Genomic DNA, 20,674 nt, shown 5'->3' on the forward strand with positions numbered 1-20,674 from the left:
CTTCTTGTCTGTTTACCTGGAGGCATGATTTGGCAACCTAGATAACAAACAGAGATAGGCTTTCTAAAAAGAATTATTTTTATTTGGGAATAAAGCATTGCAATGGGAATATGCGTGCCAAGGTAAACTATGTGCTTATTCAGGTAGGTAAAGTAAGACAAAGTTTAAAAAAATAATGAGAAGGATTACATATTTGTTTTGGAATGATTATCCTTGGCTATAAAGATCAATAACAAGACTGACATCAGTTTGAGGTTGGACAGGCAGTTGCTGGGCAGATGTTCTTGCAGAAGTATTTTTCTTTAGGTTCCTGAGAATCTATAACCTTTGGGCTTACCAATAGCAGTGACTGATTTGTTTACTGATTGTTCACAGAATAGGAAATCAAAGGAGGCCAAAATAAGGACAGCCATAATTATTTGCCAATTGTCAATTTGAAAAGGGTACCCAAATCCCTCCATATGAGGAGTAGCATAAGTGGCTTTTCTACTGGCTGCCGCTGTAGACCCACCTCCTTCTCCAGCACATAAATATCGCTGTTAACATTAACTAAATCACCTCTGGGCAGAGAAACAAAGCTCTATATGCACAGCCCAGCAAAGAGCAGCACACAGCTGAAAGAAAAACTCAGAAGACAGAGCTGAAAAAGAAAACTGGTGATGGATCTCATTCCAAACTTTGCCATGGAAACATGGGTTCTTGTGGCTACCAGCCTGGTACTCCTCTATATGTGAGTAACTATGCAGGCATGTTTGCTCTTAACTCTAAGACCTGAAGTGCTAATTGGGCCCATCTTTTTCTTATTTGTTTTGAAGATAAAAGAGATAACGGAGGGGAAGTTACCTAAGTGCCAAATACTGTGAACACATAAAATATTATTAATATGTTAGGACTCCTAATACAACATTTGAAAATGTAAAATTTAGTCTGGGTGCGGTGGCTCACACCTGTAATCTCAGCACTTGGGAGGTGGAGGCAGGCCAATCACAAGGTCAGGAGTTCAAGACCAGCCAGACCAACATGGTGAAACCCCTTCTCTACTAAAAATACAAAAATTAGTCAGGCATGGTGGCACACACCTGTAATCCCAGCTACTTGGGAGGCTGAGGCAGGAGAATCGCTTGAACCCAGGAGGCAGAGGTTTCAGTGAGCGGAGATTGCACCACTGCATTCCAGCCTGGGTGACAGAGCAAGACTCCGTCTCAAAAAAAAAAATAAAACTTTGTCATACTGAGTAGTTTGAACTAAAGAAGACTGAAAGACTTCACAAATGTCTTCAGAATCTCTGACCCTCTTCTGTCTACCCATCCCCCATTCTTTCCCTCCTGAAGTGCAGGGTTGCTCTGAAGTTCTCTTATCTGACTAAGGGAAGATCTTCCAAAAAGAATGCAATTGTCTTGAGCCTCTCCAAATAATCTCATCAATCAGAAAACTAATTCACAGGAAAAGAGAAAAAGTTTGATAATACTTATTCTTTGGAGCACTGCTACCTGAGAGACTTTATCTCCACAATAAAATAACCTTTGTTCATCATGTGTTTTCTCCCTTCACCTTCCCATAACTTGTGTCAGAAACTCCCTATCAGAAGCCACTCCCTACTTTTTAGCTTACAATGCTATTTAAGCTTTACTCATTCAGTCCTTATTTTAGTCTCATATATTGTGGGCCTCCAGCACATATGCATGTAAAATTTTGTATGGATTTTCACTGTAACCACCCAAGAGATTCACCTTGCCCCCTGCCTCAACAGAGCCCATTCATCAAGACAGGGGAATTGTAATAGAGAATGAGTTAATACATGCTGCCAACAAAAAGAGCCAAACTCTGTACAATACTTGAAGAGATTTATTCTGGGCCAAATATGAGTGACCATGGCCCATGACACAGCCTTCAGGAGGTCTTAAGAACATGTACCCAAGGTGGTCAGGGTGCAGCTTGGTTTTATTCTTTTAGGGAGGCATGAGATATCAAATACATTTAAGAAATACATTGGTTTGGTCCACAAAGGCAGGAAATGTGATTTTTGCAGAATTCTTTGTGATAGAGCAGACTCCAGAGAAATTGCAACAACTTAAAGTCTTTCAGATCTGGCCCTAAGGAGCTATAGGAGAGAAAAAAAATCTGTCAGATCACCATTGCCTACCTCTACTCCAACTGGAGCTGTTTCAAAACCAACATGTAGAAATCTTTTTGTCTGGCTGCCCTGTGAACTCAGAAACTAGTCTGCTAAATGATTAACTTTTGGTCTCCTTTTGCTTTGGTAGAATGACCTCTTATTAAGTACCTGTTTAACTGCACCATATACAGACCTATCTTTCATGACAGCAGACCTGCAACATCACCTCCTGAAATGAGGCACAGCTGTTTAACTGGATTGACATTGCTAGGAATGTGAGACTGGTTTATACTGGTTTAATGTGATTCCTTGCGACTCAGCTACCAATTCAATTGTCCTCTCCACAAGCATCAACTCAGCTTTAGTATGTACATTTTCTAGGGAAGTTTATGACAGGGGAAAGTTGGGGCTCCAAAAATGAAACCCCAAAATATGGCACTTAAGCATGTTGAGGACTTTGAACCAAAGGAAATTGAAAGGTCTCAGAAAGTCTTCAGAACCAAGCTAACTCTTATGTTCTCCTGTCTCCCAACCCTGCTATTTCTCCCAAAATATAGGAAGGGGCTTTCTCTGAAGTTCTCATACCTAAAGGAAGATCCTCCTAAAAAAAAGCAATGGTCTTGAGCCCCCTCCCTATAATCTCATGAAAAAGAATCTTAGCAGGGCCAGGCATGGTGGCTCATACCTGTAATTCCAGCACTTTGGAAAGCCGAGGTGGGTGGATCACGTGAGGTCAGAAGTTCAAGACCAGCCTGGTCAACATGATGAAACCCTGTCTCTACTAAATATACAAAAATTAGCTGGGTGTGGTGGCAGGTGCCTGCAATCCCAGCTACTCGGGAGGCTGAGGCAGGAGAATCGCCTGAACCCTGGAGGCAGAGGTTGCAGTGAGCCAAGATTGCGCCATTGCACTCTAGCCTGAACAACAAGAGCAAAACTTAGTCTAAAAGAAAAAAAAAAGAAAAAAATAATATTAGCTCACAGAAAGGGAGACTAAGGTTGATAATACTTGTTCTTTGGAGCACTGATGCCTGACAGACATTATAATAAGATGACTTTTGTTTATCATGCTTTTTCTTCCCTCACTCTCTCATGTCTTGTGTCACCCACTCCCCATCAGAAGATACTACATTTTTATAGCTCAGAATGCTATTTAAGCTTCAATCATCAGGCCATTCTTTGAGTATCATATCTTTCAAGGCTCCCATGCATATTCATGAGATAAATTTATAAGGATTATCTCCTATTAATTGATCTACTGTTAGTTCATTTCTCAGACTCAAATATCAAACCTCCATAGAGGAATGTTCTCTTGACCCTACAGATGTTACACAGATCCGTTGAAGAAGTAAATAAACATTATCCACCTCCTCTTCATTCAACTTCCAATTTCTGTTACTAAGAGTGTTTACTGACATCATTCAATCCTGGGGATGCTTTCTGATTGACTATGAGTTTTGATCTACCTAGACTAACAACCAGAATTTAGCATGGGCAGATAATGGATTATAAACAACTGGAAACCCAAGAGGTTATTTTCGATGTGTGAGTAGGAAAAGATCCCCAAAGAGGGAACCAAGCTAACAGCTGGGCCTGGCCAGGGTGCCACTGTGGGGTCCTTCAAACACATTCTCTTCATGCAATTTTTCAGCTTTATCACATTTTATAAGATTTATTTATTTGTACTGAATATTTAGGATCTAAGAAAAGCTAACCTATAAAGAAGAGAAATCAAGTTTCTAATTCAACTGTCTGGAATATTTTATGGTTACTTATGCTATGTAGCACAGTGAAACTTTTCTATCAACAGAAATGTTCCTGAATTTTGGAAGACCTCTCTTTCAGCTGAAAGCACATAAGGGGCATTTAAAACTATTTATGCATACCATAATTTTCAGCCACACTTTCCTAACTTACCCTTATAGGGCCTACTTTGTGGCACCAGCAGTTGCATGGTTACATCGGCGGGATGCAGCCTCTCTTTTTCCTCCAGTCTTCCATCCCTCAGTAACACCAGAGTGGGAAGTTCTGCAAGGATCCAGAACCTGCAATTGATGGAGTTCACACATAACCCATCAAAGATGAGTTGCAGGCAGGCCTGCCATAAGGAGCACCAGACTTAATGGGTTTTCCTGCAGGATAGTTGATGTACAGAAGCAGTAAACTGACTCTGTGTGACTGATCATTTTGAGAAAAAAAAAAAGTGAGCATGACTGGCATTGTGCTTATCAAGTAAGGATCACCAGTTGGAGGGCCAGATTGCACAAGAGGAGGAATGGCCTTGAAATTTATTCTTTAGTCATTGGTTCCTCTGCATAGTGCCATTCAGAGAACATATAGGTCAATCACATTTACTGTAGTTTATATCAATCAAATCATCTGACCACAGAGATTTGGGTGTAGCTGGAAGGTGCTCACATTTCTATGAAGCCAGTGGAAGCCTTGAATATGGTTGTCATTCCATAGAAATAAGAACACTATGATTCTTCCAGAGCTCCTCTGTGCAGGAATGTTTAAGGATGGCCAGATCCTAAAACAAGGTCAGTGTTTAGAGGGAAGGAAAAGCATAAACACCTCTGAGAAAACAGGAAAGAAGGTGTCAGCAAAGGGCCTCAGTAACCCTCTGTAATTCAATGGATGTAGTGATACACAAACTCATTATTAGTTCAAAAGATAAAAAAAAAAAACCTCACCTAGTGATATGGTTTGGCTCTGTGTCCCCAGCCAAATCTCATCTTGAATTGTTATCCCTATGTGTCAAGGAAGGGACCTGGTGGGAGGAATTGGATCATAGGGGTGTTTTCACCCATGCTGTTCTCATGATAGTGAATGAATTCTCACAAGATCTGATGGTTTTAAAAGTGTGGCACCTCGACCAAACACCGCATGTTCTCACTCATAGGTGGGAATTGAACAATGAGAACACATGGACACAGGAAGGGGAACATCACACACCGGGGACTGTTGTGGGGTGGGGGGAGGGGGGAGGGATAGCATTAGGAGATATACCTAATGCTAAATGATGAGTTAATGGGTGCAGCACACCAACATGGCACATATATACATATGTAACAAACCTGCACGTTGTGCACATGTACCCTAAAACTTAAAGTATAATAATAATAGAAAAAAAAACAAAACAACAAAACAAGAAAAAAAAAGTGTGACACCTCTTCTCTCTCTCTCTGTCTTTCTCTCTCTCCTGCCTCCATGTAATACATGCTTTGCTTCCCCTTCACCTTCCACCATGATTTTAAGTTTCCTGAGGCCTCCCCAGCCATGGAGAACTGTGAGTCAATTAAGCCTCTTTTCTTTATAAATTACCCAGTCTCAGGTAGTTCTTTATAGCAGTGTGAAAATGGACTAATACACCTAGAAAGAGAATTTCCAAATCAGGAAAGAATCAATTAACTAAATAGACATACGTGAATGAAATGCCCTGGAAGAATTCCAGTCTGAACCTCTTAAGGGCACTCAAATTTGGGAACATTTATTAAGCATTCACTCTAGCACTGGGATCATGCAGACTTCAGCTGCTTTTAGTTAATCATTGTGACTTTTTGGGGTCTCACAGAGGAGGCAGCAAAAAAGATGAGGATTGAAATGTAGTGGGATTTTAAGGAATCAGAGAGACTGATGGGGTTCAGGAGGATATTTATTAATTATTTAGGTGCACCAGCCCAGTCGGATTAACATCCAGAGGACTGAGCTCTGAACAAAGAGTTTAGTTACCTTTTAAGCATTTCGTGGGAGGGGGGAGATCTGTGGAGAGGGAAGCATACTAGAGAAGTAAGAAACAAACACAGTTATTCAATTGAGAAATGCATTACATCATTTCTTACATTTCAAGGAAAAACACGTTTTGTGACTTGAGTTTATCTGTCTAGTGACCTTGCAGCTGCACAGCTAGGGAAACAGGGTCTTTGCAATGCCTGGGAAGGGAGGAGAGATAAGGCTCACTAGCCTCAGAAAAACAGGCAGTTAGTTTTTAAAAGACTCCAGCTCTTTCTCTTTTTCAGGGGAAGTTGGGTTTTTTTCATATACAACTCAGTTTCTGCTTACGCACTCTTTAATTTCTTTTAATTCCTGTTCCATTGTCCCCTTTGGTGCTTTTTACAACAGAAGTGTTAATAGAAAGCACCACTATTTGCCACCTCCTCGCGGAGCTGAGCTTTTTCTTCTACCGGCAGCAGCTGATATCTGGTTAATGCCACAACTGTGCGGTAGCGTGTCAGGCTACTATTGCCTCTATAGTTGACTGAATACTCCTAATAAACAGGGGTAAAAGGCAAGGGAGGATGAGGCAAATGCCAAAAATAAGCAAGAACTCACTAATGAGGGTTTTGAATTCTCCAAAGGCTGACAACCATCCTCCAAATAAGGAATCCAGGGACCACCTGGACCAAGTCTGAACTAGAACATGTGCCATCTTGCACATTCTAGCTGTGATTTTCATGACAGCTAGGCCATTATCATCGATTTCTAAGCAACAATTGGTTAAATTAAATTTTTCACATACTCTTCCTTCTGAGGCTAAGAGGAAATCTAAAGCCAGCCTATTTTGATATATAGCATTTCTCATTTGTGTTGCTTGTATTGCCAATAAATCTAGTGCCCTTGATGTTTTATTGGTTATAATTTCAAGGACTGCCCGCAACCTTATGATGCAGTTGAGCATATAGATGGGGGTACGGTACCCCCATGACCTTTCTTGCACCTAGGTAGCTGGCCTATAGTATTTAATGATTCTTTCAGGAGGCCATTTGTTATCTTTCCAGTCTCCTATGTCCACATCTTTTTTGATATTTGTGTTTATTTTTGTGATTATGCCTCTTCTAGTTCTTTTATTTTCATCATAAACTGGATATCCTAAGAGTTCCCCTGGCTTTAGAGGAATTAGAAAGAAGGATGGCTTGATTGTTTCTAACACACATTCCCCTGTCCATTTAGTCAGCAGCTGATATGCCTGTGCTCCACAGGTCCAATATAGGCCAGAGGGTGCTTTCTAAGCATTTGGAGCCTCTAGCCGATGCCAAGTGCGGCTTAGAATAGACAGTGGAGGGAAAGGGTTTTGATCTTGTAAGTAGGAGTTGTTCTGGGCATTTCTTCAATAGAGTTTTGTTTTTAGTCTCATCATAATACTGTTGCCCTAGGCAGATTGTTTCTCCTACTGCCCCTGTGAAAGCCTTTCCTCATTGGGCAATACAGTACTTTCCAATTATGGAGGTTTTTAACAACCAAACACTGGTTGAGGCTGTTGGTTCACTGGTAGGGTTAAGCGAAGTGAAGTTATTTTGTGGCATTAATTCCTTTGCCTCCCATGGCCACTGGTCCCCCATATTAGTTCCTCCACATACATAGCATGAGGAAATTCCTAAGCTGCCAGCTATGTTTTCAGCTAGTTGAGCAAATAAGTTTTTGGTTGATGGGGGAAGCTCGGGCACCGGCTGATCAAAATGCTTATAGAATGACTTATGAACCCAGAATTGTGGGGTTGGACACATCTGAGTTCTTCTAGTCTTTTTGACAATCAGTAGTGGAATTCTAAGGCCTGCTCCTTGCCTATCAACTCTTAATAGTGCTGTCTGTCCTGTAGACCAAAAAGGTAGCTCTGGCTTTAAGATAGTAAAATTTAAAGGATTGCATGTCTTTGTCTTACGATCTGGTTTGGTTGACATACTACTTAGCAGAACAGTCTTCCCTGAATATAGGTGTTGGTGTTGTGTCAGTGTAGACCACTTAATGTTACAGTCTGGGCATCCGATTTGTCATTCTCTGTACAGATGTTTAGGACTGCTGCTGATAAGCCTCTCGTGTCAAACCATTGCAGACTGCTTCTGGTTTTTTAGGATTATGAACATATGCGGTATGGTAGGCATCAAAATACAAGGAAATAGGCCTGTTATAGAGGGGAAGGGCTTCTTTGGTTTGAGCTATAAGCTCTCCTTCTTTTTCTCCCTCTGATTTAACATGTACCTCAAGCCAGAATTCATAGGGTGAGAGCTTAGGGTCATAACATACATATAGCTGATTATTTCCTGGGTCACAGACTGAATAGGTGGTCTGGTTGTATGTGCAGGTTTCTAACTTGGTTCCTGCACATTCATAGTAGTTATGGTACAGTAGAGTTTTGACTATGGTATTCCTTACCCAGGTAGTGTGTACACAGTGTGGGCATCCTTCTAGAGATTTCTCCCCTTTTAGTGTAGGCAGAAATGGTAACAACATTAGCGTATGTAATAGAAACATGCTTACACTACACGTGGGAATGGCAAACCTTCCTCTGGGCATAGACATTTGCAGCATTTGCAGTAATAACGTAACAACAGAACAATCAGTACTGACAGAATTATAACTAGGCTTGTAAATTGTATCCACATTTACTTATCCAGAGATGGTACTCTTAGCTTCGGCTGTGCATAGACTAGTCAGCTTCCGAGATGTAACTAGAGCAGAGCTTGCAGGAATCCCCAAAGATCAGCCGAAATCAATTATTCAGGCCCCACCTGAGGAAAGGGAATGTCCATCCCCATGTGTGCCAGTATATCTGTCTTTGGTCAGAATAAGGCAGGAAGCAGAGTCAGGAGCACCCGAAAAGTCAGGCTTGGAAGAAAGTGAGGCTCAGTCCTTTGGATGTTAATCTGACTGGCCCAGTGTACCTAAATAATTAATAAATATCCTCCTGAACCCCATTGGTCTCTCTGATTCCTTAAAATCCTGCTATAAAATGTAATTATTGCCATCAGAGTTTCTGTTGTTATTTATTGCCTCCATGTTACCTCCCTCCCTTGAACATTCCAGTTCCTGAGGTAATGTCTGGCCAACCCCTTATCTATAAAGTTACAATTTCTGTAACCTGGCTTTCTCTTTTATTTTATAGTTATGGGACCCATTCACATAAACTTTTTAAGAAGCTGGGAATTCCTGGGCCAACCCCTCTGCCTTTTCTGGGAACTATTTTGTTCTACCTTAGGGTAAGTGTTATTTGAGCTCCCTCTTTTGCTTCTTATCGATGCAAACCCAAGCTTAGTCCTATCAGTAAAAATGCTCCTCCTCAGGAGGAATTTCCAATGTTTTACACTTTCAGAAATGGTGTGTATGCTCCACCCAGAGCAGGGCCAGGTTTATACCAGGACTCTCATCTTAATGGTCAGGGGGTTTGGGTTTGCCTCAGTTGCACGGCACAGATATCTGGGGGATCAGCACTCGATGTTCAGGACTTGATGTTCAGACTTTGCGAACCATAAAGAGGACTTTCCTTTTGCCCTGTGCAGATTTTTGAGAAGCTACAGTTGTCCTTAGTATTAAGAGAAAAGCAGAAATGGGGAAATGGGAGCCCCAGTAGCGCTCATTAGCATCATGTACCACATTCAAACTTTCCTGTTTTCACCAAGAGCTTTAGTAAGCTTTTGTTTCCTTCCTCCTGTAGAGCTTTGAAAATTCAGTTCATTGGCTGGGCGCGGTGGCTCACGCCTGTAATCCCAGCACTTTGGGAGGCCGAGACGGGCGGATCACGAGGTCAGGAGATCGAGACCATCCTGGCTAACACGGTGAAACCCTGTCTCTACTAAAAATACAAAAAAAAAAAAAAAAAAAATTAGCCGGGCGCAGTGGCGGGCGCCTGTAGTCCCAGCTACTCGGGAGGCTGAGGCAGGAGAATGGCGTGAACCCGGGAGGCGGAGCTTGCAGTGAGCCGAGATAGCGCCACTGCACTCTGGCTTGGGTGAAAGAGCGAGACTGTGTCTCAAAAAAAAAAAAAAAAAGAAAAGAAAAAAAGAAAAAGAAAATTCAGTTCACTAGGCAGCTATTTACCGCTGGATAATTTGCACATACTTGAATTCTCTCAAGAACTGTTAAATTCCCTGCAGGTAGTTCCACAGTTGTGCTCCAGCTTCTTCTCCCCAGGATGTATTTTACAGATTTGAGAGGAAGAACAAGAAGGTTCTGCTTTCCTGCTGCTTTTCTTCAAAGGCAGCACCCTATGAGTGAGCCTGAGCAGGGAGTGCTTATAATGAAGACAATATGGAGGCTGTCCATCAACTTCAGATATTTAACCACAAAATGAGTTCTGTTTTTTTTTAAAAGAAAGGCAAAATTACTTAACAAAATAACTAGAAAGGGGATAATTTGACAAACTTATTCAAAATTTAATTATCTAAACAGGAGGTAATATGTGTCTCATAGTCTTCGAATTTTGACTGAGCCTTGTGGCTACCCTGGTCTGATGCTCCACCAAGGGCCTGGGGCCATGATGGAAAGTCACAAGTGCGTGTCCACATGGCCAGTAAGAAAGCCTGTGTACAGGTTGCTCTCTGACTCAGGTTTTCTGTCTTACAGACCTGAGGCTTGTTTTTCAGATTCTAATTCTCCCAACTGAGGCCTTCATTGCAAAATTACCACTTAAGAATTTCATCCTTTTTTACCCCCCGAAAAAGCAATAATTTTCTCTTCATATTTCCCAGATCGATCCTTTAGTAAATCCACATGTCCTGGGCTATATGTTGCCTAGTTAGAACATCAAAACTGAAACAAGGAAGCAGGAAAGTTTGTTTTTAAGTGTCAGAAGTGAAAACTCTGAGTGAGTATTGTAATGTGCTGTGTCTGACATCTAGAGGTGGCATTTCCCACACTTATTATGTGTTAAGCTGGAAAACTGGAAAGTGAGTCCACTCTGTCATTTGCCCACTCACTCATTTTCTCGCTCAACAAAATGCCTTGGACTTTTATTTAAATCTGCTAGACTAAAAGTGGTCCCTGATGTTTTTGACTTTCTAATTCAGCTAGAATTCTAGAGAGAATACATGAGATAAATGAAAAGGATGCTGAACAAGGAGATAAAAGATTGCACATTCCCTTGAGACACTCACTCACTTTCCGTCAGCCTCGGTTTCTTCATGTTCCCATGGTGGTGATAATTCAGGGGTTTATGAGATTGCAGAGACAACATATGCAGAAATGAAAACACATCAGAAAGACAATGAGTTGCTTAGTGTTCATAGACAGAAGTAAGTCATTCAATATCTACACTAGTTAGAGAAAATTTAAAAGTGACTTTAAATTCTCCATTTCAAATATCTTCTGTATTTTCTCTCCTTTTCCTTAAGAGGTCTCTGAATAAGATTCCCAGCTGGGCGTGGTGGCTCACGCCTGTAATCCCAGCACTTTGGGAGGCTGAAGCAGGAGGATCACCTAAGGTCAGGAGTTCGAGACCAGCTTTGCCAACATGGTGAAACCCTATTTCTACTAAATATACAAAAATTAGCTGGGTGTGGTGGCGGGCCCCCATAATCCCAGCTACTTGGGAGGCTGAGGCAGGAGAAGAGCTTGAACCCAGAAGGCAGAGGTTGCAATGAGCCAAGATCGCACCATTGCACTCCAGCCTGGGCAGCAGAAAAAAAGGAAAAAAAAAAGATTCCCTCTAACTGCCAGTAAATGGTAGCAAGCCTAATGGTAGCAAGTCATTGGATTTGACTTTTTTGCCCTGGTTAAATGTAGCGTTCAGTACATTCGAAATAATACTTGAATTGTATTTTGTTTCTTCTGCCAGGGTCTTTGGAATTTTGACAGAGAATGTAATGAAAAATACGGAGAAATGTGGGGGTGAGTATTCTGGAAACTTGCATTGGATAGAGCTGTTGCTATGCTGAGTTATTTTACTGCAGAGAGAACAATCTCAGCCCAGATTTTGTTTGGATAATGCTATTGTCAACCTAAGTAACAAACAGAGAGAGGCTATCTAAAAGAAAAAGATGATCTGGGAATTGAGCATTGCAAGGGGAATATGCGTGTCATAGGAAACTCCATGCATATTCAGTATGTGAACAAAAATAAAATCTTTGAGACCCTAAACTCACTATGACAAAGGGAAAATCGAGCTTGAGAATTAAGTCATACCTTACTGCCTTCCTTTTTTCCCCAGACAGATAGCTGTAATTTCACAACCCTGGGTAATAGCTTCATACATAAGCCACATTCCCACAACAATAGCAATGTGGCATCACTCGTCTGGGGTAATACCCGAGGTTTGTTGTCCCACAGATATAGGGGGTCTCCCTATAGTGGACGCACAAAGAATAAGGTTAAGAGCAGAGGTTGGATAGGTGAAAGAAAGAGAAAAGCTCTCTCCTGCCGAGAGAGGGGGCCCCCAGTGGGTCTTCTGACCTGCGGTAAAGTGCAGGAGGTTTTATAGATGAGCTTGAGGAGGCAGTGTCTGATTTACATAGGGCATGAAAGATTGGTTGGACCAGGTGTGTCATTTGCATAGCACATAAAAAACTGGTTAGGACTAGGTGTACTGTTTGCATAACATGTGAAGAAGTTGGCTGCCCCACCCTAATCTTTTATTATGCAGATGGTTCTCTTCCTGGCTGGCACCATGTTGCCTGCTTTTTTTACTGTAAATGGGGTGACAAAGATAAGGGAAGATGGGGCCTCCATGTTGAACATAACCAGCTTCCAAGGTAGCCCTTTTCTATTGGCACAGCTGCCAGCATTTACCCGTGCAAGCTTCCAGCTTGCTTATCGATGTCTGCAGCTTGATTTTTTCAGGCTGCTCTTTGTTAGAAAAGAAATGATTTGGGGGGCTGCTTTTTGTTAAAAGGGAAGCTTTGCTGAGGACCCCTTTGCCCTCACTATCTGCCTAAATAATTTTTTTCTGGCTCCTATATCAATAGAAGGCTACATATCTTTCTGGATGGTTTCCCTCACAAGTTGCTCACATGGAATTCTATACATCTGCCCTATAAACCAGCCCTGTCATTGAGTTCTGTTGACTCACACCTTGATCATGTAAATTACCAGCTTATCACAGGTACAGAATAAGGACAAGACCAGAAATCATCCCTCCACCTACCTTGAGATGAATATGTAACTGACTTTTCCTCTACTCTTTCTTTTCACATGTATATCTCATGTAAAATGTAGATTTTCTGAGTACAACATGAATGCATAATTGATTTTTTCCTCTACTCTGTCTTTTCACATGTAAAGTGCAGGTTCGATGAGAGCTAATTGGTGCCTTACACAAATGTAATCATTTGCCACACTGCCTACTCTTTCCCCCCTTTTTTCCTTCCTGCTGGTTCTTTCCTCTTTAAATTCGGAAGTTCCCAAAACCCTCTTTGGAAAAACACAGGTCGCAGCTACCCCTGTGGCTCATGTGTTTCCAGGTGTCCCCTCAAGCTTTGACTCAATAAACCTCTATCAATCAAGACACCTGCCTCAGTCACTTTTTGGTTAACACCTTGGTAACCACAATGGGATTCACTGAGGGCAGTTTGGCCCTCAGCCTGCAGAAATTTTCCCATCAGTGTGATAGAACCAGCTAGAGCTTTTTATCACTCTAACCAATTGGCTCATGTGCTGAGGTCTGGGAGCTTCTCCTTCTAGAGATCCTTGATCTCCCATAAAATGTTGCTTGAGACCTGAATTTTCTTCTGCCATAGAGCTCCTTTCTGGGAGTTTTTACTTACTTCCAACAAGGAAGGTGAGTTTTCTGCTTCCATAATGATGAACAGTTTTTAGCTTGAGATCCGTCTCCACATAAGGAGCCGATGTGGCTTTTCATTTTGGAATTTGGTAGCTGAGGGTCAAGGTTTATTGTCAGCTAGCTATAACTTCCCCTTATGCTTGGAGATCTTGACCCTATGTAAATTGTGTGATAACTTTCTGTTTTGAGTTTCAATCTACCTTCCACTAAGTTTTACCAATTCGTGGCCCCCTCTAATGTTTACTGGAATGCCCACAGCTACAAAATGTCAATTTTCCCCTCTAGAAACCCCAGCCAGTTAAGAGAAATCAATATGCAACTCAAAATATATTTCTTTGACACTTTTCTTTTTTTGAGATGGAGTCTTGCTCTTGTCACCCAGGCTGGAGTGCAATGGGGTGATCTCGGCTTACTAAAACTTCCACCTCCCAGGGTCAAGCAATTCCCCTGCCTCAGCCTCCTGAGTAGCTGGGATTATAGGCACTCACTACCATGCCCAGCTAATTTTTGTATTTTTAGTAGAGACAGGGTTTCCCCATGTTTGCCAGCTGGTCTCAAACTCCTGACCTCAGGTGATCTGCCCGCCTTGGCCTCCCAAAGTGCTGGTATTACAGGCATGAGCCACTGCACCCGGCCTACACATTTTTTTTAATTGAGATGGAGTCTCACTCTGTTACCCAGGTTGGTGCAGTGGCACCATCTTGGCTCACTGTAGCCTCTGCCTCCCAGTGATCCTGCCACCTCAGCCTCCCAACTTTGACACATTTTAATGTGGCCTTACCAGAACTTCCCTTGTCTAAATCTAGGGAAGAGTAGAAAAGGATCTGACACATACTCTGAGGGCTACTACCTACGAGGTTTTCTTTGCATAACAAGGCCACCTTCCCAGCCTCTCTCTCTCTATGTGCTGTTATAATAAATACTTCATTAGAAATTCTAATTGTCAATGACAAAATAGTGGGAGCCTTTGAATTAAGACTTCTAAATTTAAAATTTTAGTGACCTTTTATTCTAAACAATTAATTAAAAGATCAAATTTTTTAAAGGACTTATAAAATGGTCATGTCTATCCTTAAAAGTTATCTTCTTTTTCTATGCCCATTTTCTGCCAAACTAACTCTGCAAAGGAAACTTGTTAATTTACAATCTCCCTAGCTATATAAAAAAGTATCCTTTCCCTCCATCTTTGCCAATCTATGCTTTTAAATGTAATTTTTGCCATTTTAATAAAAATGGCATCTTTTTAGTTTGCATTTTCCTGACTTCTACCAATACTGAGGAACTTCCCATGCTTATCATTGTCAATTACTCATTCATATTACTGATAATTCAGACTTCATTTCCTATGAATTGCTTATTAATATCCTTTTCTCACTTATCAAGTAAATCCTTCATTTATAGAAGTTTTATAGATTCTCTATATTAACTCTTGTACAAATATCTTCTCTTAGTCTCTTTCCTGTCTTTTAACTTTGTTTACGGTATCTTTTCATACAAAAGTTTTAACACTTTTTACGTAATAAAACATACTGTGGTCCTTTATGAAAAAAAAAGTTATCTTGACTAAATTAAGAGCAAAAATCTGACCAAACTCACTATGCCAAAATGAAAAGTTATGGTTGGAAACTGAGTCATGCAATACTGCCTTCCTTTAGTTCAAATCATATAGCTGTAATTTCACAATGCTGTGTCATAACCTCATAAGAAAGCCAGATTCCCAAAATGATAGAAGGCCACATATCTCCCCAGATGGCGTCCCTCGTAAGTTTCTCACAAGGACGTTCCTTATGAGTCCCTAAATCTTTTAGTATACATATCCTCCTTCCCCCCATGAACCAGCCCTTAAAACCAAGTTCTGTTGAATCTCACTTACCCTGACAATGTCAATTTCCAGTTTACCTTGGCAGGCACAGGACAAGGACAAGACCAAGAAATTATCCCTCCACCCAATCCAAGTTGAATGCGTAATCGACTTTGCCTCTATTCTCTCTTTTCATATGTTTGCATTATTTTATGTAAAATGGAGATTTCTTTATCACAATAGAAATATATAACTGACTTTTTCCTCTATGCCCTCTTTTCACATGCAAAATGCAGATTTGCTGAGCACTTCTCAGAGCCTCACAAGAATGTGACCATTTGCCTCACTACCTACACACTCTCCTTCTTCTCTCTCCTGCTTGCTCTTTCTCCTTTAAATTCTGAAGTTCCCAAAACCCTCTTTAGAAAAAGCACAGGTCACAGAGGCTCCTGTGGCTGGTGTTCTTCCCAGATGTATTCTCAAACTTTGGCTAAAGGAAACTATTAATCAAGGCTCCAGTCTCTGTCACTTTTTGGTTAACAAGAAGATAAAAGAAGACAGTATTTTTAAAGAAAATAATGAAGAGGATTACATAACTGTTTATTTTATTTTTTTTTATTTTGAGATGGAGTGTCGCTGTATTGCCCAGGCTGGAGTGCAGTGATGCGATCTTGGCTCACTGCAACCTCCACCTCCCGGGTTCAAGTGATTCTCCTGCCCTGGCTTCCCAAGTAGCTGGGATTACAGGTGTGAGCCACCACGCCCAGCTAATTTTTGTATTTTTAGTAGAGATGGGGTTTCACCATGTTGGCCAGGCTTGTCTCGAACTCCTGACCTCAAGTGATCCACCCACCTCGGCCTCCCCAAAGTGCTGGAATTACAAGTGTGAGCCACTGCACCCAGCCTATAATGAAATATTTTAAACATACAAAAGATTATGGAGAATGGTATAGGGAATGCCCAAGTATACACCACCTAGATGTAACAAAGGCTTCTGATATTTCTAACCATGATCTCTTTGAAGAGCTCTTTTGTCTTTCAATGACTCTTTCCTGTTTGAGCCACATCACCCTTCGTTGTATGAAGGCTTAAGTGGCTTCCGTGGTGAGAATCTTACTCTGTGTCATACCCTAATTGACCTTGGAGCTGGCTTTGCTGTGTATTGCACAACTGCAAGTATGGATGATGGAATGTCAGGATCAAAATCTGGATTCTTTGGTGTGGTTCCAGCTGCAGAATCAGGCAAGCGAGGTTTAGTCAGCTCTGTTTTCCCCCACACAGGCTGTATGAGGGGCAACAGCCCATGCTGGTCATCATGGATCCCGACATGATCAAAACAGTGTTAGTGAAAGAATGTTACTCTGTCTTCACAAACCAGATGGTAGGCCTATATTTTCAAATGTATTAATCAAATTTTTATTCTTAAATGATTATATATTCATGGAAACTTGCCCAGAAAATGGACAGGAAAGTGCTTTATACTTCGTCCTATTTCCCCCAATGGTGATGTCTTATTTAACTGTAGATACAGTGTATTTCTGTCACTCTAGTAACAGAAAATTGCCATTGACACAATCCACAGAACTTATTCAGAGTTCCTGCTTTACATGCCCTCATTTGTGTGGGTGTATATGTGTGTGTGTAGCATTATGCAAATGTACCCATGTGTATAATTGCATGACTATCAGCACAATATGTACAGATCTGTTCTAGCACCAGGAGGCTCCCTGCTGGTATTCTGTTGTTACTATGTGTAGCTTGTCTTTTCCTCCTTGCAGGGTCTATAGTAGAGAAAACTTTTTTTTTATTTCAGTGAGGCCAATTTATCCATTTTTCTTTTATAGATTGTGCTTTTACTGTAAGTCTGAAAATTATTCTCCAAGCACACTTTGTCGCTGGTGTTTTTTCTAAAAGTTATATGGTTTAAGGCTGGGTGCGGTGGCTCACGCCTATAATCCCAGCACTTTGGGAGGCCGAGGTGGGTGGATCACGAGGTCAGGAGATCAAGACCATCCTGGCCAACATGGTGAAACCTCATCTCTACTAAAAATACAAAAATTAGCCAGGCATGGTGGTGGGCACCTGTAGTCCCAGCTACTCGGGAGGCTGAGGCAGCAAAATCGCTTGAACCCGGGAGGCAGAGGTTGCAGTGAGCCAAGATTGCGCCATTGCACTCCAGCCTGGCAACAGAGCAAGACTCAGTCTCAAAAAAAAAAAAAAAAAGTTATATGGTTCAATGCTTTACATTTAAGTTTATGATACATTTTGTGTTAATTTTTTGTCTTAATTTTTTGCATAAGATGTAAAGTTTAGGTCATAGTTCACTTTCTGTGGCCTGTGGCTGTGTGATTTTTCCAACACCATTTTTGGAAAGGTTACTTTCCCTCTATGGGGTTACTTTTTCACAATTGTCAAAAATCAGTTGAGCAGATTTCTGTGCATCTCTTTTTTTTCTTTTTCTTTTTCTTTTTTTTTAATTGAGACAGAGTCTCGCTCTGTCACCCAGACTGAAGTGCAGTGGCGCGATCTCAGTTCACTGCAAACTCTGCCTCCCAGGTTCAAGTGATTCTTGTGCCTCAGCCTCCCAAGTAGCTGGGATTACAGCTGTGCACCACCGTGCTCATCTAATTTTTGTATTTTAGTAGAGATGGGGTTTTGCCATGTTGGCCAGGCGGGTCTCAAACTCCTGGGCTCAAATGATTCACCCACCTCAACCTCCCAAAGTGCTGAGATTACAGACGTGAGCCACCACACCTAACCTGCGCATCTGTTTCTCATTCACTGTTTTGTCCCATTGATCACTGTGTTTATTCCTCCACCAGTACCACATTGTGGTGACAATAGTAGCTGTACGGTAACTATTAACATCATGTAGAGGGATTACTCCCACTTTATTTATTGTTTTAGTTCTTGTTTTTGCTTTTTTTTTTTTTTAAGACGGTCTCGCTCTGTAGCCCAGGCTGGAGTGCAGTGGCATGATCTCGGCTCACTCTAGCCTCTGCCTCCCTGGTTCAAGCGATTCTCCTGCCTCACCCTCCCAAGCAGCTGGGATTACAGGCATGCGGCACCATGCCCAGCTAATCTGGGGTATTTTTAGTAGATACGGGGTTTCGCCATGTTGGCCAGGCTGGTCTCGAACTCCTGACCACAGGTGATCCACCTGCCTGGGCCTCCCAAAGTGCTGGGACTACAGACATGAGCCACCACGCCTGGCCCCTTTTCCTTTCCATAAAAATTCAGAACAAGCTTGTCAATGTCTACAAACAAACCTGCTGAGATTTTGATAAGTATTGAATTAAACCTATAAGTTGGTTTAGGGAAAATCTGTATCTTTACTACATTGAGTCTTTCAAAACATGAACATAGTATCCCTCTCCATTTCTTTAGGTTTTCTTTTAGTCCTTTCATCAACGTTTTGTAATTTTTAGCATAGAGATCCTGTACGTGTTTTGTTAGATTCACACCTAAAGTATTTCATTTTCATTGACATGTAAATGGAATATTTTTACTGTATTTTCAGATAGTCATTGTTATGGCGTAGAAATGTGATTGATTTTTGCATGTTGATCTTGTGTTCTACACCCTTGCTGAATCTCACTTTTTAGCTCTAGAAGTCTTTTTGTATATTCCTAGAAAGGTTCTACATTGACATTTATGTCACCCGAAAATAGAGGCCCTTCTATTTCTTGCCGTCCAATCTGTATGCCTTTAATTTTTTTCTCATCTATAGCACTGAGACATCCAATATGATGTTGAATAAGAATGGTGAGAGTGGATATTTTTGTATTGTTTCTGATCTTGGAGGAAAGCATTCATTTTTTTCACCATTAAGTGTGATTTAGCTGAAGGTTTTTTGTATATATTTTTTTCCATGTTTTTCAGAATATCAAATTGAGGACGTTTCTCTTTTTCCTAGTTTGCCAGGTTTTATCCTAAATAAGCATTGAAATTATCCATTTTAAAATACAGTTTTGAAAGATGGAAGAAGGTTTCAAGTTATTGGACTAATAGGCCTGTCGCAAGTTGGGAAATAGCATTCTTTTCTTTATTTTTCCTCTAATCCTGGGGGGAAAATAAAAGAAAGGGGCTTTTCATGTAATTGCATTGTTTCTTCAAAGTGCATTCTTAGTCTTTTGCTTATTACTAATTTTTTTTTCAAAAGTCACTAAATCAAACCACCCCTTTGTCAAGTTTCTCATGCTATAGGTGTATTAAAGACACAGCTGCTCTGAGGCAACGTACAATCTGCCAAGGCGACCTGCCTATCTGTCACCAGTCCCTTTCTGCTTTGCACAACCCTGGAGGAGTTGCTAGGTCTTGTTCCCATCTATTCTACTGGAAGAACTGGTTCTCTTCCACGTGGAAACCATGCATTTAAAAGGAAACTGGGATATAGTGACTGGAAACCACACCATTTGCCTTGATTCCACCATCCCCCTTCCATATGCTTACAGGAGGCTACACATTCAAGATAAATCTTTATTGAGCATCTAGTATAGAGCCTGCCACCCAGTAGATAGTTACTAAATATTTGTTAAATTCATGATGCCTGTTTAACACATTTTCTACAACTATGGAGATCTCTAAAACTTACGTAGGACAAACTGCTTCTGCTTTGAACTCAAGCCTTTAGGTCCAATGGGATTTCTGAAAAGTGCCTTAAGTTTTGCTGAAGATGAAGAATGGAAGAGAATACGAACATTGCTATCTCCAGCTTTCACCAGTGTAAAATTCAAGGAAGTAAGAAAATAAGGTGATTTATAATTAGAAACTTAAAGGATGAATCTGGAGACAGGTAGTAAGTATCATCATAGTTCCTTTCTAATGGGTAGTCCACTGAGTTTGAGCTTTCTAAAAAGGGTCTTTTCAGCTGGGCACAGTGGCTCATGCCTGTAATCCCAGCACTTTGGGAGGCCGAGGTGGGTGGATCACCTGAGGTTAGGAGATTGAGACCAGCCTGGCCAACATGGTGAAACCCCAACTCTACTAAAAATACAAAAATTAGCTGGGCATGGTGGCGGATGCCTATAATCCTAGCTGCTCAGAAGGCTAAGGCAGAAGAATTGTTTGAATCTAGAGGCGGAGGTTGCAATGAGCCAAGATTGCGCCGTTGCACTCCAGCCTGGGCAACAAGAGCGAAACTCTGTCTCAAAAAAAAGGGGCAGGGGGCGGTCTTTTCTATTTATGTCCTAGAGGACATGGTGAGTCATTACAAAATATCATTTACTGTTCCATGCTGGGCAAAGCCATGTCCTTCTGAGACTCGAGT

At 41.2% G+C, this 20,674-nt stretch overlaps 1 protein-coding gene across 10 annotated transcripts in view; it reads left to right on the top strand.

Moving 5' to 3' along the window:
* The window catches only part of CYP3A43 (cytochrome P450 family 3 subfamily A member 43), a 38,081-nt gene continuing 17,963 nt past the window's right edge, over nucleotides 557-20,674 (top strand). For 4 of the 10 annotated variants that reach the window (NR_103869.2, NM_022820.5, NM_057095.3 and 1 more), the window contains exons 1-5: nucleotides 557-730; nucleotides 8,997-9,090; nucleotides 11,664-11,716; nucleotides 16,687-16,786; nucleotides 20,032-20,145. Coding sequence is in view for 6 of the 10 variants with exons in the window: in NM_022820.5 (NP_073731.1) it covers nucleotides 660-730; nucleotides 8,997-9,090; nucleotides 11,664-11,716; nucleotides 16,687-16,786; nucleotides 20,032-20,145 (432 nt within the window). In the remaining 4 variants the exon portion in view is untranslated. Of the gene's footprint in view, nucleotides 731-8,996; nucleotides 9,091-11,220; nucleotides 11,343-11,469; nucleotides 11,717-16,686; nucleotides 16,787-20,031; nucleotides 20,204-20,674 lie in introns of those variants that run through there. The other 6 variants (NM_001278921.2, NR_103868.2, XM_047420745.1 and 3 more) reach the window with 6 other exon arrangements.

This window comes from Homo sapiens, chromosome 7 (genome assembly GCF_000001405.40).
Source record: "Homo sapiens chromosome 7, GRCh38.p14 Primary Assembly".
Lineage (NCBI taxonomy): Eukaryota > Metazoa > Chordata > Mammalia > Primates > Hominidae > Homo > Homo sapiens.